The sequence below is a fragment of the Homo sapiens genome, chromosome 12, assembly GCF_000001405.40.
Source record: "Homo sapiens chromosome 12, GRCh38.p14 Primary Assembly".
NCBI classification, from domain to species: Eukaryota; Metazoa; Chordata; class Mammalia; order Primates; family Hominidae; genus Homo; species Homo sapiens.
Genome location: NC_000012.12, coordinates 15,725,924 through 15,745,213, shown reverse-complemented (window position 1 = coordinate 15,745,213; position 19,290 = coordinate 15,725,924). Strand labels below are relative to the sequence as shown.

At 37.7% G+C, this 19,290-nt stretch overlaps 1 protein-coding gene across 16 annotated transcripts in view; it reads left to right on the top strand.

Moving 5' to 3' along the window:
• The window catches only part of EPS8 (EGFR pathway substrate 8, signaling adaptor), a 169,255-nt gene that overhangs the window by 44,175 nt on the left and 105,790 nt on the right, over positions 1-19,290 (top strand). For 2 of the 16 annotated variants that reach the window (XM_047428498.1, XM_047428494.1), the window contains exon 1: positions 12,420-12,823. The exons of 13 other annotated variants lie outside the window; for them this stretch is intronic. Coding sequence is in view for 1 of the 3 variants with exons in the window: in XM_024448878.2 (XP_024304646.1) it covers positions 12,451-12,462 (12 nt within the window). In the remaining 2 variants the exon portion in view is untranslated. Of the gene's footprint in view, positions 1-12,419; positions 12,824-19,290 lie in introns of those variants that run through there. One more of the 16 variants, XM_024448878.2, reaches the window with a different exon arrangement.

Genomic DNA, 19,290 nt, shown 5'->3' with positions numbered 1-19,290 from the left:
TTGAAACAGGTAGAGTTTTTCTTTACAAATAATGTTAAAAATAATGGACAATTGGCCAGGCATGGTGGCTCACGCCTATAATACCAGCACTTTGGGAGGCTGAGGTGGGTGGATCACGAGGTCAGGAGATCGAGACCATCCTGTCCAACGTGGTGAAACCCATCTCTACTAAAAATACAAAAATTAGCTGGGCGTGGTGGCACATGCCAGTAATCCCAGCTACTTGGGAGGCTGAGGCAGGAGAATCACTTGAACCTGGGAGGTGAGCCGAGATCGCGCCACTGCACTCTAGCCTGGTGACAGAGCGAGAGTCTGTCTCAAAAAAAAAATAATAGTAATAAAAAAATAGTAATAATGGACAGTTAAGTTTTTAGGCTAGTTCACAAAAGACTTTTAAAAGTATTTGTTAACGTTATCCATAACTACTTGGTTTAATTAAATTCTTGTTTGTACTATTCCCATAACCTTTGTTTCAGCATTTATCATACTGTGTTATAATTACTTAAGTTTGAAACCAGCCTTTACCACTTAGTACCTGTATGAATTTGCAAGTTACTCAAATTCTACATGTTTCAATTTTCTTATCTCTTGAAATAGGAAAGTATTACAACTTACCTTCATGGGCTTGTTGTAAGAATCAAATTATTAAATATGTAAAGCACTTAAAAAAGAGCCTGGAATCTTGAAAGAGTCATGAGAATCCTTCTCAATGGTGCTTTAGGCAGCAAATATTAGCTGGAAGTGCTCAAATATTAGGTATTGTTATTCTTACTGATCAGTTTCACTCACTATAGTTCATCCTTGTATACTTGGATCTAGAACAGTGTCTGCATTTAATAAATTTCTTTGAAGGACCAATTAAATAAGGAAGGGGCAGAGGAAGACGCTATCACATGGTATCTCATAGGGTGAAAGAGGAAGGAAGAGACCAGCTCTTTTAACAAAGTGCTATTTCCATGCTTGTTGAGCTCCACTCTAGAAGAAAGTTTCTTTTTCCTTAGTCGTTAAGACTTAATGTTGCTGATCTCTCTGATGGCCAGTGATGATGGGCATTTTTTCATGTGTCTGTTGGCTGCATAAATGTCTTCTTTTGAGAAGTGTCAGTTCATATCCTTTGCCCACTTTTTGATGGGGTTGTTTGATTTTTTCTTGTAAATTTGTTTAAGTTCTTTGTAGATTCTGGATATTCGCCCTTTGTCAGATGGGTAGATTGTAAAAATTTTCTCCCATACTGTAGGTTGCCTGTTGACTCTGATGGTAGTTTCTTTTGCTGTGCAGAAGCTCTTTAGTTTAATTAGATCCCATTTGTCAATTTTGGCTTTTGTTGCCATTACTTTTGGTCTTTTAGTCATGAAGTCCTTGCCCATGCCTATGGCCTGAATGGTATTGCCTAGGGTTTCTTCTAGGGTTTTTATGGTTTTAGGTCTAACATGTAAGTCTTTAATCCATCTTGAATTAATTTTGTATAAGGTGTAAGGAAGGGATCCAGTTTCAGCTTTCTACATATGGCTAGCCAGTTTTCCCAGCACCATTTATTAAATAGGGAATCCTTTCCCCATTTCTTGTTTTTGTCAGGTTTGTCAAAGATCAGATGGTTGTAGATATGTGGTATTATTTCTCAGGGCTCTATTCTGTTCCGTTGGTCTATATCTCTGTTTTGGTACCAGTACCATGCTGTTTTGATTATTGTAGCCTTGTAGTATAGTTTGAAGTCAGGTAGCGTGAGCCTCCAGCTTTGTTCTTTTGGCTTAGGATTGTCTTGGCAATGCGGGCTCTTTACTGGTTCCATATGAACTTTAAAGTAGTTTTTTCCAATTCTGTGAAGAAAGTCATTGGTAGTTTGATGGGGATGGCATTGAATCTATAAATTACCTTGGGCAGTATGGCCATTTTCACGATATTGATTCTTCCTATCCATGAGCATGGAATGTTCTTCCATTTGTTTGTGTCCTCTTTTATTTCATTGAGTAGTGGTTTGTAGTTCTCCTTGAAGAGGTCCTTCACATCCCTTGTAAATTGGATTCCTAGGTATTTTATTCTCTTTGAAGCAATTGTGAATGGGAGTTCACTCATGATTTGACTCTCTGTTTGTCTGTTATTGGTGTATAGGAATGCTTGTGATTTTTGCACATTGATTTTGTATCCTGAGACTTCGCTGAAGTTGCTTATCAGCTTAAGGAGATTTTGGGCTGAGACGATGGGGTTTTCTAGATAGACAATCATGTCATCTGCAAACAGGGACAATTTGACTTCCTGTTTTCCTAGTTGAATACCTTTTATTTCTTTCTCGTGCCTCATTGCCCTGGCCAGAACTTTCAACACTATGCTGAATAGGAGTGGTGAGAGAGGGCATCCCTGTCTTGTGCCAGTTTTCAAAGGGAATGCTTCCAGTTTTTGCCCATTCAATATGGTATTATTGGCTGTATGTTTGTCATAAATAGCTCTTATTTTGAGATACATCCAATCAATACCTAGTTAATTGAGAGTTTTTAGCATGAAGGGCTGTTGAATTTTGTCAAAGGCCTTTTCTGCATCTATTGAGATAATCATGTGGTTTTTGTCTTTGGTTCTGTTTAAATGCTGGATTACATTTATTGATTTGTGTATGTTGAACCAGCCTTGCATCCCAGGGATGAAGCCAACTTGATTGTGGTGGATAAGCTTTTTGATGTGCTGCTGGATTCGGTTTGCTAATATTTTATTGAGGATTTTTGCATTGATGTTCATTAGGGATATTGGTCTAAAATTCTCTTTTTTTGTTGAAATGCAAATTAAAACCACAGTGAGATACCATCTCACAGCAGTTAGAATGGCAATCATTAAAAAGTCAGGAAACAACAGGTGCTGGAGAGGATGTGGAGAAACAGGAATGCTTTTACACTGTTGGTGGGACCGTAAACTAGTTCAACCATTGTGGAAGACAGTGTGGCAATTCCTCAAGGATCTAGAACTAGAAATACTATTTGACCCAGCCATCCCATTACTGGGTATGTACCCAAAGGATTATAAATCATGCTGCTATAAAGACACATGCACACATATGTTTATAGCGGCACTATTCACAATAGCAAAGAGTTGGAACCAACCCAAATGTCCTTCAATGATAGACTGGATTAAGAAAATGTGGCACATATACACCATGGAATACTATGCAGCCATAAAAAAGGATGAGTTCATGTCCTTTGTAGGGACATGGATGAAACTGGAAACCATAATTCTGAGCAAACTATCGCAAGGACAGAAAACCAAACACTGCATGTTCTCACTCATAGGTGGGAACTGAACAGTGAGAACACTTGGACACAGGATGGGGAACATCACACACTGGGGCCTGTCGTAGGGTTGGGGGAAGGGGCGAGGGATAGCATTAGGAGATATACCTAATGTAAATGACGAGTTAATGGGTGCAGCACACCAACATGGCACATGTATACATATGTAACAAACCTGCACGTTGTGCACATGTACCCTAGAACTTAAAAAAAAAAGACTTAATGTTACTGATCTGGATGTGATGTTGCAAAGGCAACAGTTTGATTAATCTAAGCTGGAGTAGCTAATAGTTTCCCAGTGGACTTTACGCTTTAAAAGATGATATGTGCTAACCAATCACCTCTCTCCTCTTGGTAGTATTTTTGTTGCCCTCACAAAGTCAGGGACAGGGGCAGGCTCGATAAATTGCAGGGCCAAGAACAAAATGAAATGTGGGGGTTCCAGCTAGGAAAGTCACTTTCCCCTTCTACCCCAAACTGCAGATGGTCAACCTACAAATGATCCTGCCAGGATTCGCTTGGTACCTGAATTGGGGGTGGGCAAGAGGACCCCACTGAGTCACCCACCTAAAGTGGCATCTCACTGCTGGCTCAGGATGGGGATGGCCATTTCCTCTCTGCAACCCAGTTTCTGTCCCTAGTGGAGGGGGGTGGCTGGAGGCAGGACTGCACATGAGTCACAGTGCTAAGCCAAGCTCTGTTACCCCATTGGACTTTATATACAAAATGCAAATTCAAAGATACAGTTATTAAGAATTTAAAGATAATTACCACAGAACAAGGTCCTGGACCTTTTGAGCCCACGACTCTATGCAGCTGTACTGGCTGCCTGCCCATGAAGCCCACCTTGGTGAAGAGCATTTTTTAGATATACCCCTCTCTCTGGGTAGGGTCTTCTTTGTGGGCAGTCCAATTCTGCCTGGGAATTTGGACTTTAGGACAACTCTCCATTATTGGTCAGTTTCTTGGCTGCTGCTGCTTTGGAACATACAGGTCACTAAAAGCACCATTTTTTAAAAAAGAAATTGACCTTTTTTCTATCATTACCAATCCACGTAGATGTACTCAACTTAATGGTTGTGGACATGATGCATTAGCCACATTTCTCTTAATTTCGCTACAGGGAGGTATTATTGTTTCTATTTTACATACTGGAGACTGAGGCTCAGAGTAGTTGATAAGTACCTTTCCTGAAGTCATGTATTAATTGGCAGAGCTGAAATTTAAACTTGGGAGAGACTGTCTTATTCTTTAGCCTGTACTGGCTCTCATGTAAATTTTAGCATTAAATCTATATGACACATATGTTCTAGCAGCAGCTTTTTGCCTCAGGAACTTCCTATTTATTTATTTATTTATTTATTTATTTATTTATTTTTATTATTTTTTATTTTTTCTAGATGGAGTCTTGCTCTGTAGCCCAGGCTGGAGTGTAGTGGCATGATCTCGGTTCACCGCAACCTACGCCTTCTGGGTTCTAGCAGTTCTCCTGCCTTGGCCTCCCGAGTAGCTGGGATTACAGGCATGCACCACCACGCCTGGCTAATTTTTGTATTTTTAGTAGAGACGGGGTTTCACCATGTTGGCCAGGCTGGTCTCCAACTCCTGACCTCATGATCTGCCAGCCTCAGCCTCCCAAAGTGCTGGGATTACAGGCGTGAGCCACCGCTCCCAGCCTACGAATTTCCCATTTAGTGAACTTAGTGTGTATGCTTGTAGGTGCTCTAGAGTTTTTAAGCCCTATAAAGATTTTAGTTATTAATAGAGATTTGGTCCTTTATGCAATAAGATTGTGCATCTAGGAGTTTGATTTTTTTTTCTAGTGTTTTGCTCACAAGATTTCTAGTCTGCTCCGATTTTTTCTTTGAGCATGCTTTTTATCCTTAACTTTGCCGTCACCTCGGAGTAGCTTCTTTTGGTTAGTATTCTCTGTATTCCTGAGTCCCTGTGTGTCAGAGAATGTAAGAGTTGAAAATGGTAGACTCCCACAAGGAAACAAACATTGCTTTTTAAAAGCTCATTAAAAACTATCTAAAGTGACCTCAAGGGACCTTTAGAGGCTTCTTTGAAAAGCTTTGTTTACTAGTAGCCTTCTGTACTAGTCAGAGTTCTCCAGAGACAGAAATAATAGGATATCTATTTATGGATGGATGGGTGGATGGATGGATGGATAGATGATAAGGGGCTTATTAGGGGAACTGGCTAACACAATTGTGGAGGCTGAGAAGTCCCACGATAGGCCATCTGCAAGCTGGAGAACCAGGGAAGTTGATGGTGAACCAGGGAAGCTGAGGGCCCAAGAGCCTGAGGAGCTGCAGGTGTGAGTCTCAGGGTCCAAAAACCAGAGACCCTGGAGTTCTAACATCCAAGGTCGGGAGAAGAAGGGTGTCCTGACTATGGAAGAGTGGGAAGAAATTCACCCTTCCTCCACCTTTTTGTTCCATCTGGTCCCCCAGTCGATTGGATGGGTGCCCATCCACATTCAGGGCAGCAGATCCTCCTCCCCAGGCCACCGACTCACACGCCAATCTCTCCCAGAAACACCGTCACAGATACACCCAGAAGTAATGTTTTACCAGCTATCTAGGTATTCCTTAATTTAGTGAAGTTGGCACCCAAAATTAATCATCACACCTTCTGTTTAGGAATGTCAGTGGTGGAGAATGTGGACTGTACTGTCTGACAGATGTGGCTCAAATCTTGCCTCTGCCCTATGATCTTGGGACTTTAAACATTTTTTGTAACCTCTTTAAGGCCTCAGCATCTTCACCTGTAAAATGGGAGTAATACTATTCTCAGGTTATTGTAAAGATCACATGAACTAAGGTATATGATGTGTTTTGTGTTGTACCTGGTACATAGAGTGCTATCAGTGAGTATTAGCTATTATTATAGATTAAAGGATCTAGGCTTAGAATAGTAACCCAGGGATGTAGTCTGTGCTATATTAGAGCAATCTGCATAGACATGCCTGCATGGACTAAGGGGTCAGAATAAGACCAAATGAAAGTCTCTTGAGAGTCGTGTCTCAGGTTTGGTAGATTTAGCTCCACCATGGACTGTTTAACGTGGCACGCTTAATGATTTAATCTGAGGTCCTTGGAGTGAAGGTGTATGCTTGTAAGTGGATTCAACAAACATTTATTAAGCACCTGCTATTGCCAGGACTTTGTAGCTGCTGGTATTACAAAAAAAAAACCAAGTTGGCCTGTGTCCTTTTGTAGTTTATATTCCAACTATGAGACAAATATGCAAACAAATGACTGATATTAAATACAACACAAGTGCTTTAAGGTACTTAAAATGCCCTAGGGCATAATAATGCAGAATGCCCTAGGGCATAAAGTGAGTTGGAAGGAAGTTGTTCTTTGTTAATATTTTATCTTCAGGGCTAAGAATGTTCTTATTATAGAAGGACCTTCAGTAAGTTCAATGAATTATTTTGATATTTTTAGTATAGATTGATCCTTCAAACACCAAACATATTGAAAATGTAACTTAACTTTGGGTATTTAAGTGACAGAAGCCCATCTTTAAATTTTCCTAACAATATTATTTATCCTTTATCTTCACAACTTAGGTGAATAGGAGTTATAGGCAAAATCTTGTTAATTATGTGAAGACTACCTATATCTGCAATGTGCAAAAGGGTTTCTTAGCCACTCAGGGTGGGTGTGTTTCTAAATGATCATTTACATCTATGGGAAATATAGCTGGCAGTTGAGAAATGAGTCTAATATTAGTTAGAATAAAAGTGATATTAATTAGAATAATAGTTAGATATTCACAATTAAAATATTAGCTACTATGTATTAAACACTATCTACCAAAAATAACACTAGGAAATATATCTATTTCGGTAGTTTATATACAAAATTAAAATAAAAAATATTTCTGTGAAGAGCGAATTCCCCTCATTTACTATTTGTTTAGCTAATTTTAAAGTTTGTATAAAAAGTGGAAAAATGCTACTCTTTCTTAGTTTCTGAGTTTTTAATGACAGGAGTCTTAGGGAAGTTTTTCATGTACTTACAAAAAACACCTGAGGAATATAGAGCAGATAGATCCAAATCATAAACATGTATTGGTAAATGAGCAAAAATGGAAAATAATTGGTGTCGCGGGACTGTTGAAACAGATTTAATAATATTTAAAAAAAAGTCACTAGGATATGCTTTGAGAACTATATTTTCTACAACACAGTAGCATCATTAAGTTTTTAATATTTGGGTATATAATAGTTAGCATCATGGGCTCTGAAGCCGGACTTTCTGTTTTCAGTTTTAGTTCTTCACTTACCAGTGTCACTTTGGGCAAATAATTTAATGTCTTCATGCCTCAATTTTATCATCTGTTAATTTAGGATAATAATAGAACTTCCCTCATAGGGTCATTGTGAGGATTAAATGAGTTCATATACATTAGGCACTTAGAGCAGAGCCTGGAACATAGTAAGCTCTCAGTAGATGTTAGTTGTTGTTGTTGTTGTCATTATTTTTCTTTGTAGAAAGGAGGAGGGATGGAACTTCTGATGCTTATTTTTAATCTATGTTACAGAGTCTTCCCTTTGGTATATTTTTTCTAAACTATTTTGTTTGTTTCAGCCTTCTTAAAGTCACGTTTTGCAACCCTTTCTGAACTAAAGTGTCTAGGCTTTGAACTTCAGTAGCTGGTAATGTCATAAAAGGAGAAAATTAAACATTATATGTCTTTTGTTTAACCTCTATTACGGCACCAAATAGTATTACAATTTATTGATATTTATGGTGGTATTTTCTACTGAGCTGTGAGCTTTTTGAAAGAAGAGACCTACACTATTGTGTTTAGTACACTGTCTGGTACTAGGTATGAGGCCTGAGCCCCTAATAGTTGTTCTGTTAACTATACTAACATCTCATTTATCAGGTTTACCTAATAGTGTGCTTTTCAAATTCAAAAACAACTGAGTTTCCTAGCTGTCTAGCTACATGAATTAAAGTATGTTACTTTAAATATGAAGATTTTATTTTTTTAAGTATTTAGGATAATTTTTCTTATAAGCATTGAGCACATCCCATCCTTCATAAGCATAATGTAAATTCATCATCATGCGTACTGTTTATTGGGGCTGTAATATAGTGTCTCCATGGAGGGTATTGACATATGCTTGGTTGTATGGTTCTATATCACATACTCTGAGGATGCCTTATGCATTTTTTCTTTGCATCTTATGTATTATTTTTCTCTCATTATCATAATACACCAATTTCTTTCTTCTTTCTGCCACATCTAGCAACCCTAGCTTCCTAAATTCAAATTTAATGCTTCTAACCTGCTGCGGATTGATTTGCTTACTAACTTCATTAGAACCTATAGAAAAAGAAAGATTTATTAATAAGATCTTAACCAAGCTTGAGGGCATCTTCTGTGAGTAAAATGCAGAAGTTCAGCACATAGATAGAGGGTGTGACATCTATTTAGCTAGCCATATAGGTTTTACACTTACTTTATGACATTGCTGAGGTTGTCATATATGTGTGGCCTCCAGGCAAGTGATTTTTTATTATATTAACCTCTGTACAGAAGAATGAAATTCTCTTCAGTATTTCCGTAGTGTTAACTTATGGCGTTGGAATTCAAATCCAGATCTCCTTTACTCCAAAGTCCATTTTCCTTGGTGCTAGACTCATGTTATAAAAAAGTTAATATTGTTAATTATTACAGTTCATTAAAGTGACATGATACTAGGATAGTTTTTGGTTTAAAACACAAACTCGGCCCGGCACAGTGGCTCATGATTGTAATTCCAGCACTTTAGCAGGCTGAGGCAGGAGGATTGCTTGAGCTCAGGAGTTTGAGACTAGCCTGGGCAACATAGTGAGACCTTATCTCTACAAAAGAATTTAAAAATTAGCTGGGTATGGTGGTACGCACCTGTAGTCCTAGCTACTTGGGAGGCCAAGGTGGAAGGATTGCTTGAGCCCAGGAGGTTGAGGCTGCAGTGAGCTATGATAATGACACTGTACTTCAGCCTGGGCAATAGAGCAAGACCCTGTCACAAAACACAAAAAAACACAAACTCTTTGTCTTTGTCCTATTATTGGCATTTTTTTCTATATAAGTTTTTAAAAATATTGCCAATTATGGATTGTTTAAATATTTAATTGATAGATACATATTCAACATATATTTTACAACAGTAAGTTACACAGATATAGGTTACATTTAATAACATGCACTTTTAAAAGGTCTACAATTTAAATAACCTGATTACTATGTTTATTTGTAGGCTTTGAGCTCAATATACATGCACATCTACATAGAAGAAGTACTTAAATGTGCCTATTTTACTTACAGTTTATAAAACGCTAGAAAAATATTAAAAAGATTCAAAATTAAGTAGCTTTGAGGCATTTAGGATTAGACATGGATTCAAATCATAGTTTTAATCTTAGAATGTTAGCTTTTTCAGTACTTCCTAGGGTTACTGTAAGGATTAAGTCAAGTAGCATTAACGTGGGATGCGCCATAAGACAATATTTGATCCTTCATGATCTCTTTCCTCTTCATTTTTTCCATCTATATAATTTTGAATCTTGATAAAAAAGAGGGAGCAAAAAAGTATAGGGAAGAATGAAATATATTTCTTAAGCAAAAGCAACTATGGTTTGCATATTGTGCTTCAAAATGAATATTTTTCTTTTATCATTTTGTTACATGCAGAATACCTTTAACTTAGCCTTCATTGGACTAAAGTAGAAACGTAAGAATTGGAGCTTATTTTCATTTCTGAGGTGAGTTCATTTGTAGAAAAATTAGTATACTTAAATCAGTCTACTGTTTCTTTGGAAACTTTGTCATTTGCATGTACCTGGGAATACTACAGTTATCCATGAAATGCTGTTAGTGTGAAGTCGTGGTGAGGGTTCCAGGCTAGGCATTCGGAGCTCCCTGTCAATACCTGGGCTGTGCTACAGATGCCCTTCAGTGTTGTGACCCTAGTTCCTTGACATCTTTGTGTCAGTTTGCTTATTTTTAAAATGGAAATGATATGGCAGTTGGCCCTGCTTACCTTCCAGCTTACATATTATAAGAATCAATTGAGATCATCGATATGAAAGTATTTTATTATGAACAATGTAAGGTAGAAGTATTAATATCGTGAAGTGTCACAGTGAGTTAAATGGGAATTAACAAAGTTACGTGCAGAGAATCTTTTTTGTTTTTTTTTGTTTGTTTGTTTTTTGTTTTTGAGACAGAGTCTCGCTCTGTACGGAGTCTCGCTCTGTCGCCCAGGCTGGAGTACAGTGGCGCGATCTCGGCTCACTGCAAGGTCCGCCTCCCAGGTTCACGCCATTCTCCTGCCTCAGCCTCCCGAGTAGCTGGGACCACAGGCGCCCACCACCATGCCCGGCTAATTCTTTGTATTTTTAGTAGAGACGGGGTTTCACCGTGTTAGCCAGGATGGTCTCGATCTCCTGACCTCGTGATCCACCCGCCTCAGCCTCCCAAAGTGCTGGGATTACAGGTGTGAGCCACCGTGCCCAACCACAGAGAATCTTTTTAAGCATGAAACTTTTGAATGTTATTGTAGCCTAATGCCCCTGGAACAGTAGTAAAACAGGGCCATCTTATATGTTGTTTCTGAATAAACTGGCAAACAAATAGAAGAAAAGGAAGAGGAGGAAGCAGCTGAGGAGGAGAGAAAACAAAACTAAACTGATTATATGGTCTTGAAAGCATTGACATTTTTAGAACTACACATCACTTGAAAATTTTTGAAGGCATTGTTAATCTATAGGTTATTAAAAATGAATTTTCTGGCCAGGCATGATGACTCAGTCCTGTAATCCCAGAACTTTGGGGAGGCTGAGATGGGAGGATTACTTGAGCTCAGGAGTTTGAGACTAGTCTGGGCAACATGGAGAGACCCTTTCTCTACAAAAAATACAAAAATTAGCTGAGGGTCTCACTGACTTGGGAGGCTGAGGTGGGAGGATCACTTGAGTCCAGGAGGTGAAGGCTGCAGTGAGCTGAGATTGCATCACTGTACTCCAGCCTGGGTGACAGAGTGAGACCCTTTTTCAAGAAAATAAAAATAAAAATGTATTTTCCATTAAAAACCAGCTTACATTATTTTCAATGTTTTTACATTTCTTGCTGTGGAGAAAAGCCTAGTCCCTTCTCTAGAATTTTAATCATTCATCTGGATGCCTTGATATATGTGGTATGATGCTTAGTAAAATGGAATGGATATTTCTTCTATCTCCATTAGTTTTTCTGTTTGTTTGTTTTTCTTTTTACCTGCCTTTATTTCTGTTGTTGTTATTCTTCTTCCATCCACCAAGAACATGTGGTCCTCTTATCTCTGGGCTGAGGTGTTTTCACATGTCCTTTTATTCTTTCTTCATCTCACAAAAGGTATATCTAGGCTTTTTAAAGGTGCCAAGATACTATTTAATGAACAATATGATATGGATTGGCTCTGTGTCCTCACCCAAATCTCATCTCAAATTATAATCCCCAGAATCCCCATGTGTTGAGGGAGGGAGCTGGTGGGAGGTGATTGGATCATGGGAATGGTTTTCCCCATGCTGTTCTCACGATAGAGAGTGAGTTCTCATGAGATCTGATGGTTTTATTAAGTGTTTGACAGTTCCTCCTTCACACACTGTCCCCTCTCACCTGTTAGACGGGCTTGCTTCCCCTTCCCCTTCCACCATGATTCTAAGTTTCCTGAGGCCTCTCAGCTATGCTTCCTGTTAAGCCCGTGGAACTGTGAGTCAATTAAACCTCTTTCCTTTATAAATTACCCAATCTTGTGTAGTATCTTTATAGCAGTGTGAAAATGGACGAATACATTATATTTCTTTCCAGTATCTGTTTTGGGAGAGGAATGCTGGTCAGCTGCTAGTAAAATCATCTCCATGTACTCCATTATTTAGGTATCGTTCAATTCTAGTGTGGTAGTCATGACTACCTAGGTGGTCATTTTTGTCTAATGTTGCAGCTGCTATTTCTGTGTCTTAGTCTACAAGAAAACGTTATATTTTCCTCACATAGCTTACTTATTCTGTTCCTTGCATAATGACCGAGGTGGCTGTATTCAAAGCCTTAACAATGATTAACAACATGTCCTTTAATCTTCAGCGCTAGCTCAAGAGTTTTATTCTCCTGTGGCCACTGTAACCTCCAAACTATGAGTAATCTGGCAAGTACTTTTGTGTTCTCTTTATTGCAAATCATATTCTTTTTCATCTTTAAGAAATGTTGTTTCTTAGTAAACAGTAGGTCATTTATTTGACTTCTCCAAAAAATAATTGACTATTTAAAGAAAAATAGTTTTAAGGAACATTTACCAGTTGCTTTTTTATGTAGATAGTGAGTGTAGGATGTAGCAGATAGGCCGGGCTTCATAGTCTTCACTGTTTAGTTTTGGGCATGCATGCTCTCTGAGCCTTAAATGTTATAGTTGTAAAAGGGGTGTAGTGTTGGGATTGTTAGGATTAAATGAGATAGTGTATATAAAATGCCTCGTACATTGTGGAGCACAAAGAAGTTCACAGAATAATGTAAGTATTGTTATTACTGATATCTTCTCCTCATTGTTGTTGTCATTATCACCATAATTATGTGGGAAAACCTAAAGGGAGTTTTGTACTAATGGGCTCAAAATGGAATGCATTGTTGATGAAGGTCTCGATACAGTAGATCACCTTGACAAATTGTGTGTAGTCATAGTTTCTTTGATACACCATTCATCTCGTTAAGATGAGAATGTCCAGCCAGCCCTAGAGATATGTCAACATTTCTGGCTGAGATTAATATAGACTTATGAAAATGGGTTAATTGGTCACTAATGAGCTGCATTACTGGGAATAGGGTTAGAGTTTTATGAAATGCGTAGTTTCACTTTAGACTTACCTACTCTCAGGAGTAGGCAGTTATTTAAGTAGTAGCCAGTTTGAAAGAAAAAAATCTACCTTTTCAGTTTGTTTCCTTTTTATGGATAAAATGAAAAAATTCCATCCTGAAATCAGATTTTAAGGAACAGATATATATAGTGATTAACCACCCAGCTTCCTTTTGCCTACACACACACATGCACACACACACTTTATCTTCTGTTTTTCATTCAGAATATGACTGCACAAGCTGTAGGGGTTAGCTAACAGCACACTGAACAGCTTTTTGCTGCCAGTTTGGGGGATGATTGAAATTATTGACCCTTACACGAAGACAAAATGAAATATTTTTATGCAAGAATACTAGAAAAAAATCTTCTCTATTCAGAAAATACTTTAGCTCTTAGAATCTTTAGCATGAAGTCACATGATGTGAAAAAGCCAATTAAAAGTCAATTAAGGCCAGGCATGGTGGCTCATGCCTATAATCCCAGCACTTTGGGATGCCAAGGTGGGTGGATCACCTGAAGTCAGGAGTTCGAGACCAGCCTGGCCTACACGGTGAAACCCCGTTTCTACTAAAAATACAAAAATTAGCCAGGCGTGGTGGCAGGCACCTGTAATCCCAGCTTTTGGGAATCTGAGGCAGGAGAGTAGCTCGAACCTGGGAAGCTGAGGTTGCAGTGAGCCGAGATTGTGCCATTGCACTTCAGCCTGGGCAACACAGTGAGACTCCATCTAAAAAAAAAAAAGTCAATTAAATATTTTTAATGGTGGAAGGCTTATTAAAGTTTTATATTCTGAATTTGTCTTCAAAATACTTTGAAAAGAGAATAAACATTTCCAAGGCTACAGGAATTCTGTTTAGAGGATTTGGTTAAGCTAGCTAAAAACCTGGATAGCAGTTGCCCATGACATTTTAATTATTCTATCTAAAAAAGATGAATTTCTATGTCATATATAGATATGCCTTTAAGGTACTATGATATATATTTTTGACTGAACTTTTTGCACAAGAGGCATTTCTGAAATAAGTAAATGGGATATTTGAAATGTCATCTGTGAATCTATTTTTAAAGCAGTATTTAACATCTAATAGACCTTGTGTGCTATTGTAGATATTCTTATTTATATGTAAAGGAGGGCATGCCATTTGTATCTCTTTTTTTTTTAGTTATATGGGAGATGCAATTATTTTCTGAGGGGAGTGAAGGAAAAGAAGGGCTATATTATAATTTGAGGACATAGTTATTATGGGAGACTCTCTTAAGGAACCAACAAGAAAGGAAGTATAGATGAGCAGCGGTTAGAAACTAGTCGATACTGATAACAATGTATAGTGGTCCTAATAGGTTCGTAATTCTCTTAAAAGGAAAACAGGAAGCAAATACAGAGAAGATTGAGTAGTCATATGCCAGGGTAAAGAGAAGGCCCCTGCCCTCAAAGAGTTCATAGTTTTATTTACAAACTAGAATTATCTATCTTAAAGTCCCATCGTTTTTAAGCTGCCTGCAGACAATTATAGTCTAGTTCTAGTGTATCTTGTTGAATCTTTATTTTTCAGAATTGTCTTCAAGTACCTAGCTCCATGCTTACAGTTTATACTCCCCAATATAGGTTAAATTAAACTGGATGGAATCAAGTGCTAAAAAAAAAGTCATGCTTTTATTCTTCCAGTGATGGACAGCAGAAGTTTTAGAGTAATCAAGATCTGAATTTGAAACCTGGCTCTGCCACTTAACTTATGTGGTCTTGGGCAAGTACCAAACTCTGAGCTTTTATTTCTTCTGTTGTAAAATCATGATTATCATACCTATTTCATAAGTTAGCTGAATGGGTAAATGACTCTGTGTGTGTGTGTGTATTACAAAAGTGTTTATCAAATAACTGTAATTATCAATATGGTTATCAAAACTAAGGAAAAGTTGAGATGCCCCAAAGTTATAGAGATGGGAGTTGATATAATGGAGAGGGTTCCAGGTGACGATGGACTTCAGAAGCTACACAGGTGAATTTACAGTGTTGTGATAGCCAGTACGGAGCCATTTTAGGTTCTTGATCCCTAGAAGTGTATTGTGAATAGTTAAATCAAAATGTATTTAAACAGGATTAATCGAGAGATACTATTCAAGAGGTGTGTGGGGAGGTACAGACCTTGAGAGTTAATCATACCTATGTAAACATTAATGAAGGCACTGTACATATCAAAATAAACTGTATTCCTGCTTATAAAAAGTACCTCAACATATTTAGACAGATTGAAATCATACACGCATTCTGTGAACACAGTGGAGTCAAACTAGAAATCAATAACAGAAAGATAAGTAAATCTCCAACATTGAGAAGATAACACAACACACTTCTAAATAATCCATAGGATAAAGAGAAAATTTCAAGGGAGATAAAAAATACACTGACTAAATGAAAATGAGAACAGAATATATCAAAATTTGTGGGACACAACTAAAGAAATTAAAAACTAACAGAAATGCAGAATGCCTTTGATTCCTTTGATGCCATCAGTAGATTGGAGAGGGCTAATGAAAGAATCGGTGAGCTTGGAGGTAGGGCAATAGAAACTTCCCTAACCGAAGCCATAAGAAGAAGGAAAAAACTGAAACAGAATATTTAAGAATTGTGAGACAATTACAAAAGGTGTAACATATGCAGAATGGGAATGCCATGAGGAGAAGAAAGAGAGAAAGGATCAAAAGAAATATTTGAAATAATAATGACTGAGAATTTTCCAAAATTAATGACAGACATCAAACCACAAATGTTGGAAGCTCAAAATTAATGAGAGACGCCAAGCTCAGGACAAACACCAAAAAATCTACAGACAGGCATATCTTATTCAAATTGCAGAAATTCAAAGACAATGGGAAGATTTTGACAGGTCGGGGGGTGACTTCACCTTACCTTTAGGGGATTAAGGGTAAGAATTACATCGGACATCTCTTCAAAAACTATGTAAGCAAGAAGAGAGTAGAATGAAGTATGTAAAGTATTGGAAAACAGAAACAAAAATCACTTAGAATTCAGTATCCAGTAAAATTATCCTTCAAAAGTGAAGGAGGAGTAAAGACTTTCTCAGACAAAAGAACTGGGAATTTGCTGCCAGCACAGTGCCTTACAAGAAATGTTTTTAAAAAAGATGGATTTACAAATATTTTCTGCTAGTCTGTGGCTTGTCTTTTCATTTTCTTAACAGTGTCCTTTAGCCCATTTTTATTGGCTTGAATATTTTGCTACCAAAGTTTGATATTAACATATATTGTGCTTTAAATATTTCTAGAAATAGCATCTCTGCAACAAACATTTTCAGTTTAAACTTATTGAAAGTCTCAGGAATGGAGTGTTGTTTTGTGTTCAAGTAAGTCACAAAGCATAAATATTTCACTGAAATGTAAATAGTAAAATCTGTGATTTTAGGCCTTGTATTTTCATGTAAAAGATATATGCTATCCTCACATAAATATGGTGGTATTAGGAGCAATGCCTGACTCTTCAAATTCTATTAATGACTCAGCACCCGGGAGAGTGTTCCTTATTATTGTTGCTGTGTTTGTGTAACATTCTCTAAGGTTCTTTGTAGTGAGGAACAGATGACCCTTCCATGAGTCGGGATCCAGTGTTCTTAAAAGGGCCACTGCTGTAGTTTCTTTAAGCTTCATCTTGGATTGTTATTAGCATGGCAAGGACACTGGATAAGTTATATACACACATACACCCACAAGGCACCCCCCCTGGTTTGAAAATGGAATCTATGAATTGGCTTCCGTGCCTGCTTTTATTGCCATGGTGATGAATAATCTGCTGAGTTTTATGGTTGGCATGATTCTTCTGGATTAGGTCACTTGTGTTTTCTTTCTATAATACCAGTCGACTACGCTTTTGGTAACAGTTAAAGTTCCATCACTAAAAAGCTAGTAGGTAGAATGCAAAACTAATGATTTAGTAGAATTAGCTACATCAATGCTTTTTAATCTGTTGATTATTCCCTTTCAGTGCTAAGTAGCAGGGGCTTACTCATTTCACAGGGCTTTAAATCTTTCCATTGCAGTCAGACCTGGTAGGGAATTATTCTATGCTGCAGTTATAAGTTTTTCATCATTTATTAAAGCATTATGGGAGAACCATCTTGATAAAAGCATCTTAGTAAAGGAAACTAGACTTATTTATTTTATTTTATTTTTTTTGGGGATGGAGTCTCGCTCTGTCGCCCAGGCTGGAGTGCAGTGGCACAACCTTGGCTCACTGCAACCTCCACCTCCCAGGTTCGAGTGATTCTCCTGCCTCAGCCTCCTGAGTAGCTGGGATTACAGGCACGCGCCACCACGCCCGGCTAATTTTTGTATTTTTAGTAGAGACGGGGTTTCACCGTGTTGGTCAGGCTGGTCTCGAACTCCTGACCTCGTGATCCGCCCACCTCGGCCTCCCAAGGTGCTGGAATTACAGGCGTGAGCCACTGTGCCCAGCCTTATTCTTTATTTTAATGAGTCAGAATTTTAAATACCTTGCTTTACTGTATTTACAAAAGTTGTAGCAATGGGTCAGTTGTCTTAAGTTAAATTTATTAGTATCTACCAACATTAAAGGAAATATTAAAGTGTTTCAATTATGTTTAAAATAAAACACAAGAATGAGGAGTGATGGACACAAGTAAAACAATGAATTTGGGATGATAAAATGAGTTGTTGATTTAGAAATATATACTATATGCCAAATGGTCAGATCTACTTGGGGATATAGTGAGAGTTAATCTACTTCGAATCGTTGCTTCTAAAGCAAACCCAGTTGTGTAAAGTCCTACGTATAAAGGTAGATATTAAATCCACGAGGGAAGTAATCAGAACCCCAGGTGCCCAGGCTTTGTAAAAAATTTAAACAGTAAAAACGTAGTCACTTGTACTTAACTTAGATTTAACTAAACAAATTCATAAAATTTCCTGAGTGGAATGATGGTTTCAGAGAGCTAGTGAGTTTCAGACCTTGAAAAAATACCACTCACTGAACTGTAGTCATTCTTAACTGTTTAACAATTGAAATCTAAGTTGTCATATGTTTAAATTAGTACAGTTCTGGTTATGCTGTGTCTTTTCCAACTCATAACTTTCAGTAATGAAAATAGCTTTCTATTTAATTAGCCTGAATTAAATTTTCCTCTCTCTTCCTTCTACATCACTAATGAAAGTGGAGTAATCATTTCTGCTTCAAGGATGACTATATGATTTCATTTATCCCTAATATAGTACACACTACATAGTAGGCACTCGGTAAATCTTTATTCATTCTTTCAGGAGGCAAAGCAGGAACAGATTAACTAATTACCAGCTCAGACCAAGTTAAGAAAAATAAAGCTACAGATTGTCATTTCAAAATTTGCCTCTTTTTGCTGTCTCACTATTTTAAGGAGTGCCCACTATATCACTAATATCTCTGGCAAGAAAGCATTCCATGTGTATGTATGTAAGTGTGTATCTTCATTTTTTGCTGTCACCACACAGACATCAGGCTTTTTCACAAAATCTGACCCCCTCCCTTGACCATTTTTTATAACTACCTGGCATGTATCACTACAGAGCTTTTGTTCTGGTCCTTCTACTTGGACTTTGGCAGATATTTGAACTCTTCTGAGCCAGTGCTTTCCTCTTCAGGGATTTGTTTTTAAGATTTTCTTCCTTGCCAACCACAGAGACTGAATTTTATATCCCACAGATGAGTCTGAGATTTCCAGCCCCCTCCGTAAATCCCATCACTCTGTCACTCTTGACAGTGTAATTATCCCTTTTGTTTCTTGCTGCTTTCCTGCTTGTAATCTTTGTTCCTCAACATGTCCTTCATCTGAAAAAAAAGGCACCCAATCCTTCTTGCTTTGTCAGCTCTTTAATTTCTCTTGTGAAATAGTCCTCAGATATCAGCTCCCCACAAAGGCTTTCTGGAGGAGAAGTGGCATTTTGCTTCCTTAAATCTTTCTGTCTATTCAATTTTCATGAGTGACTGATAACTAGCCATCATATTAAAGTCTTCTGATCTTATATTTAAGTATGATTTTTTATTAGATTTATGTTTTGTTCAGTGTTTATGCTGTTCAGTGTATGCATGTGCTATGTGTACACTTTTAATATGTGTAT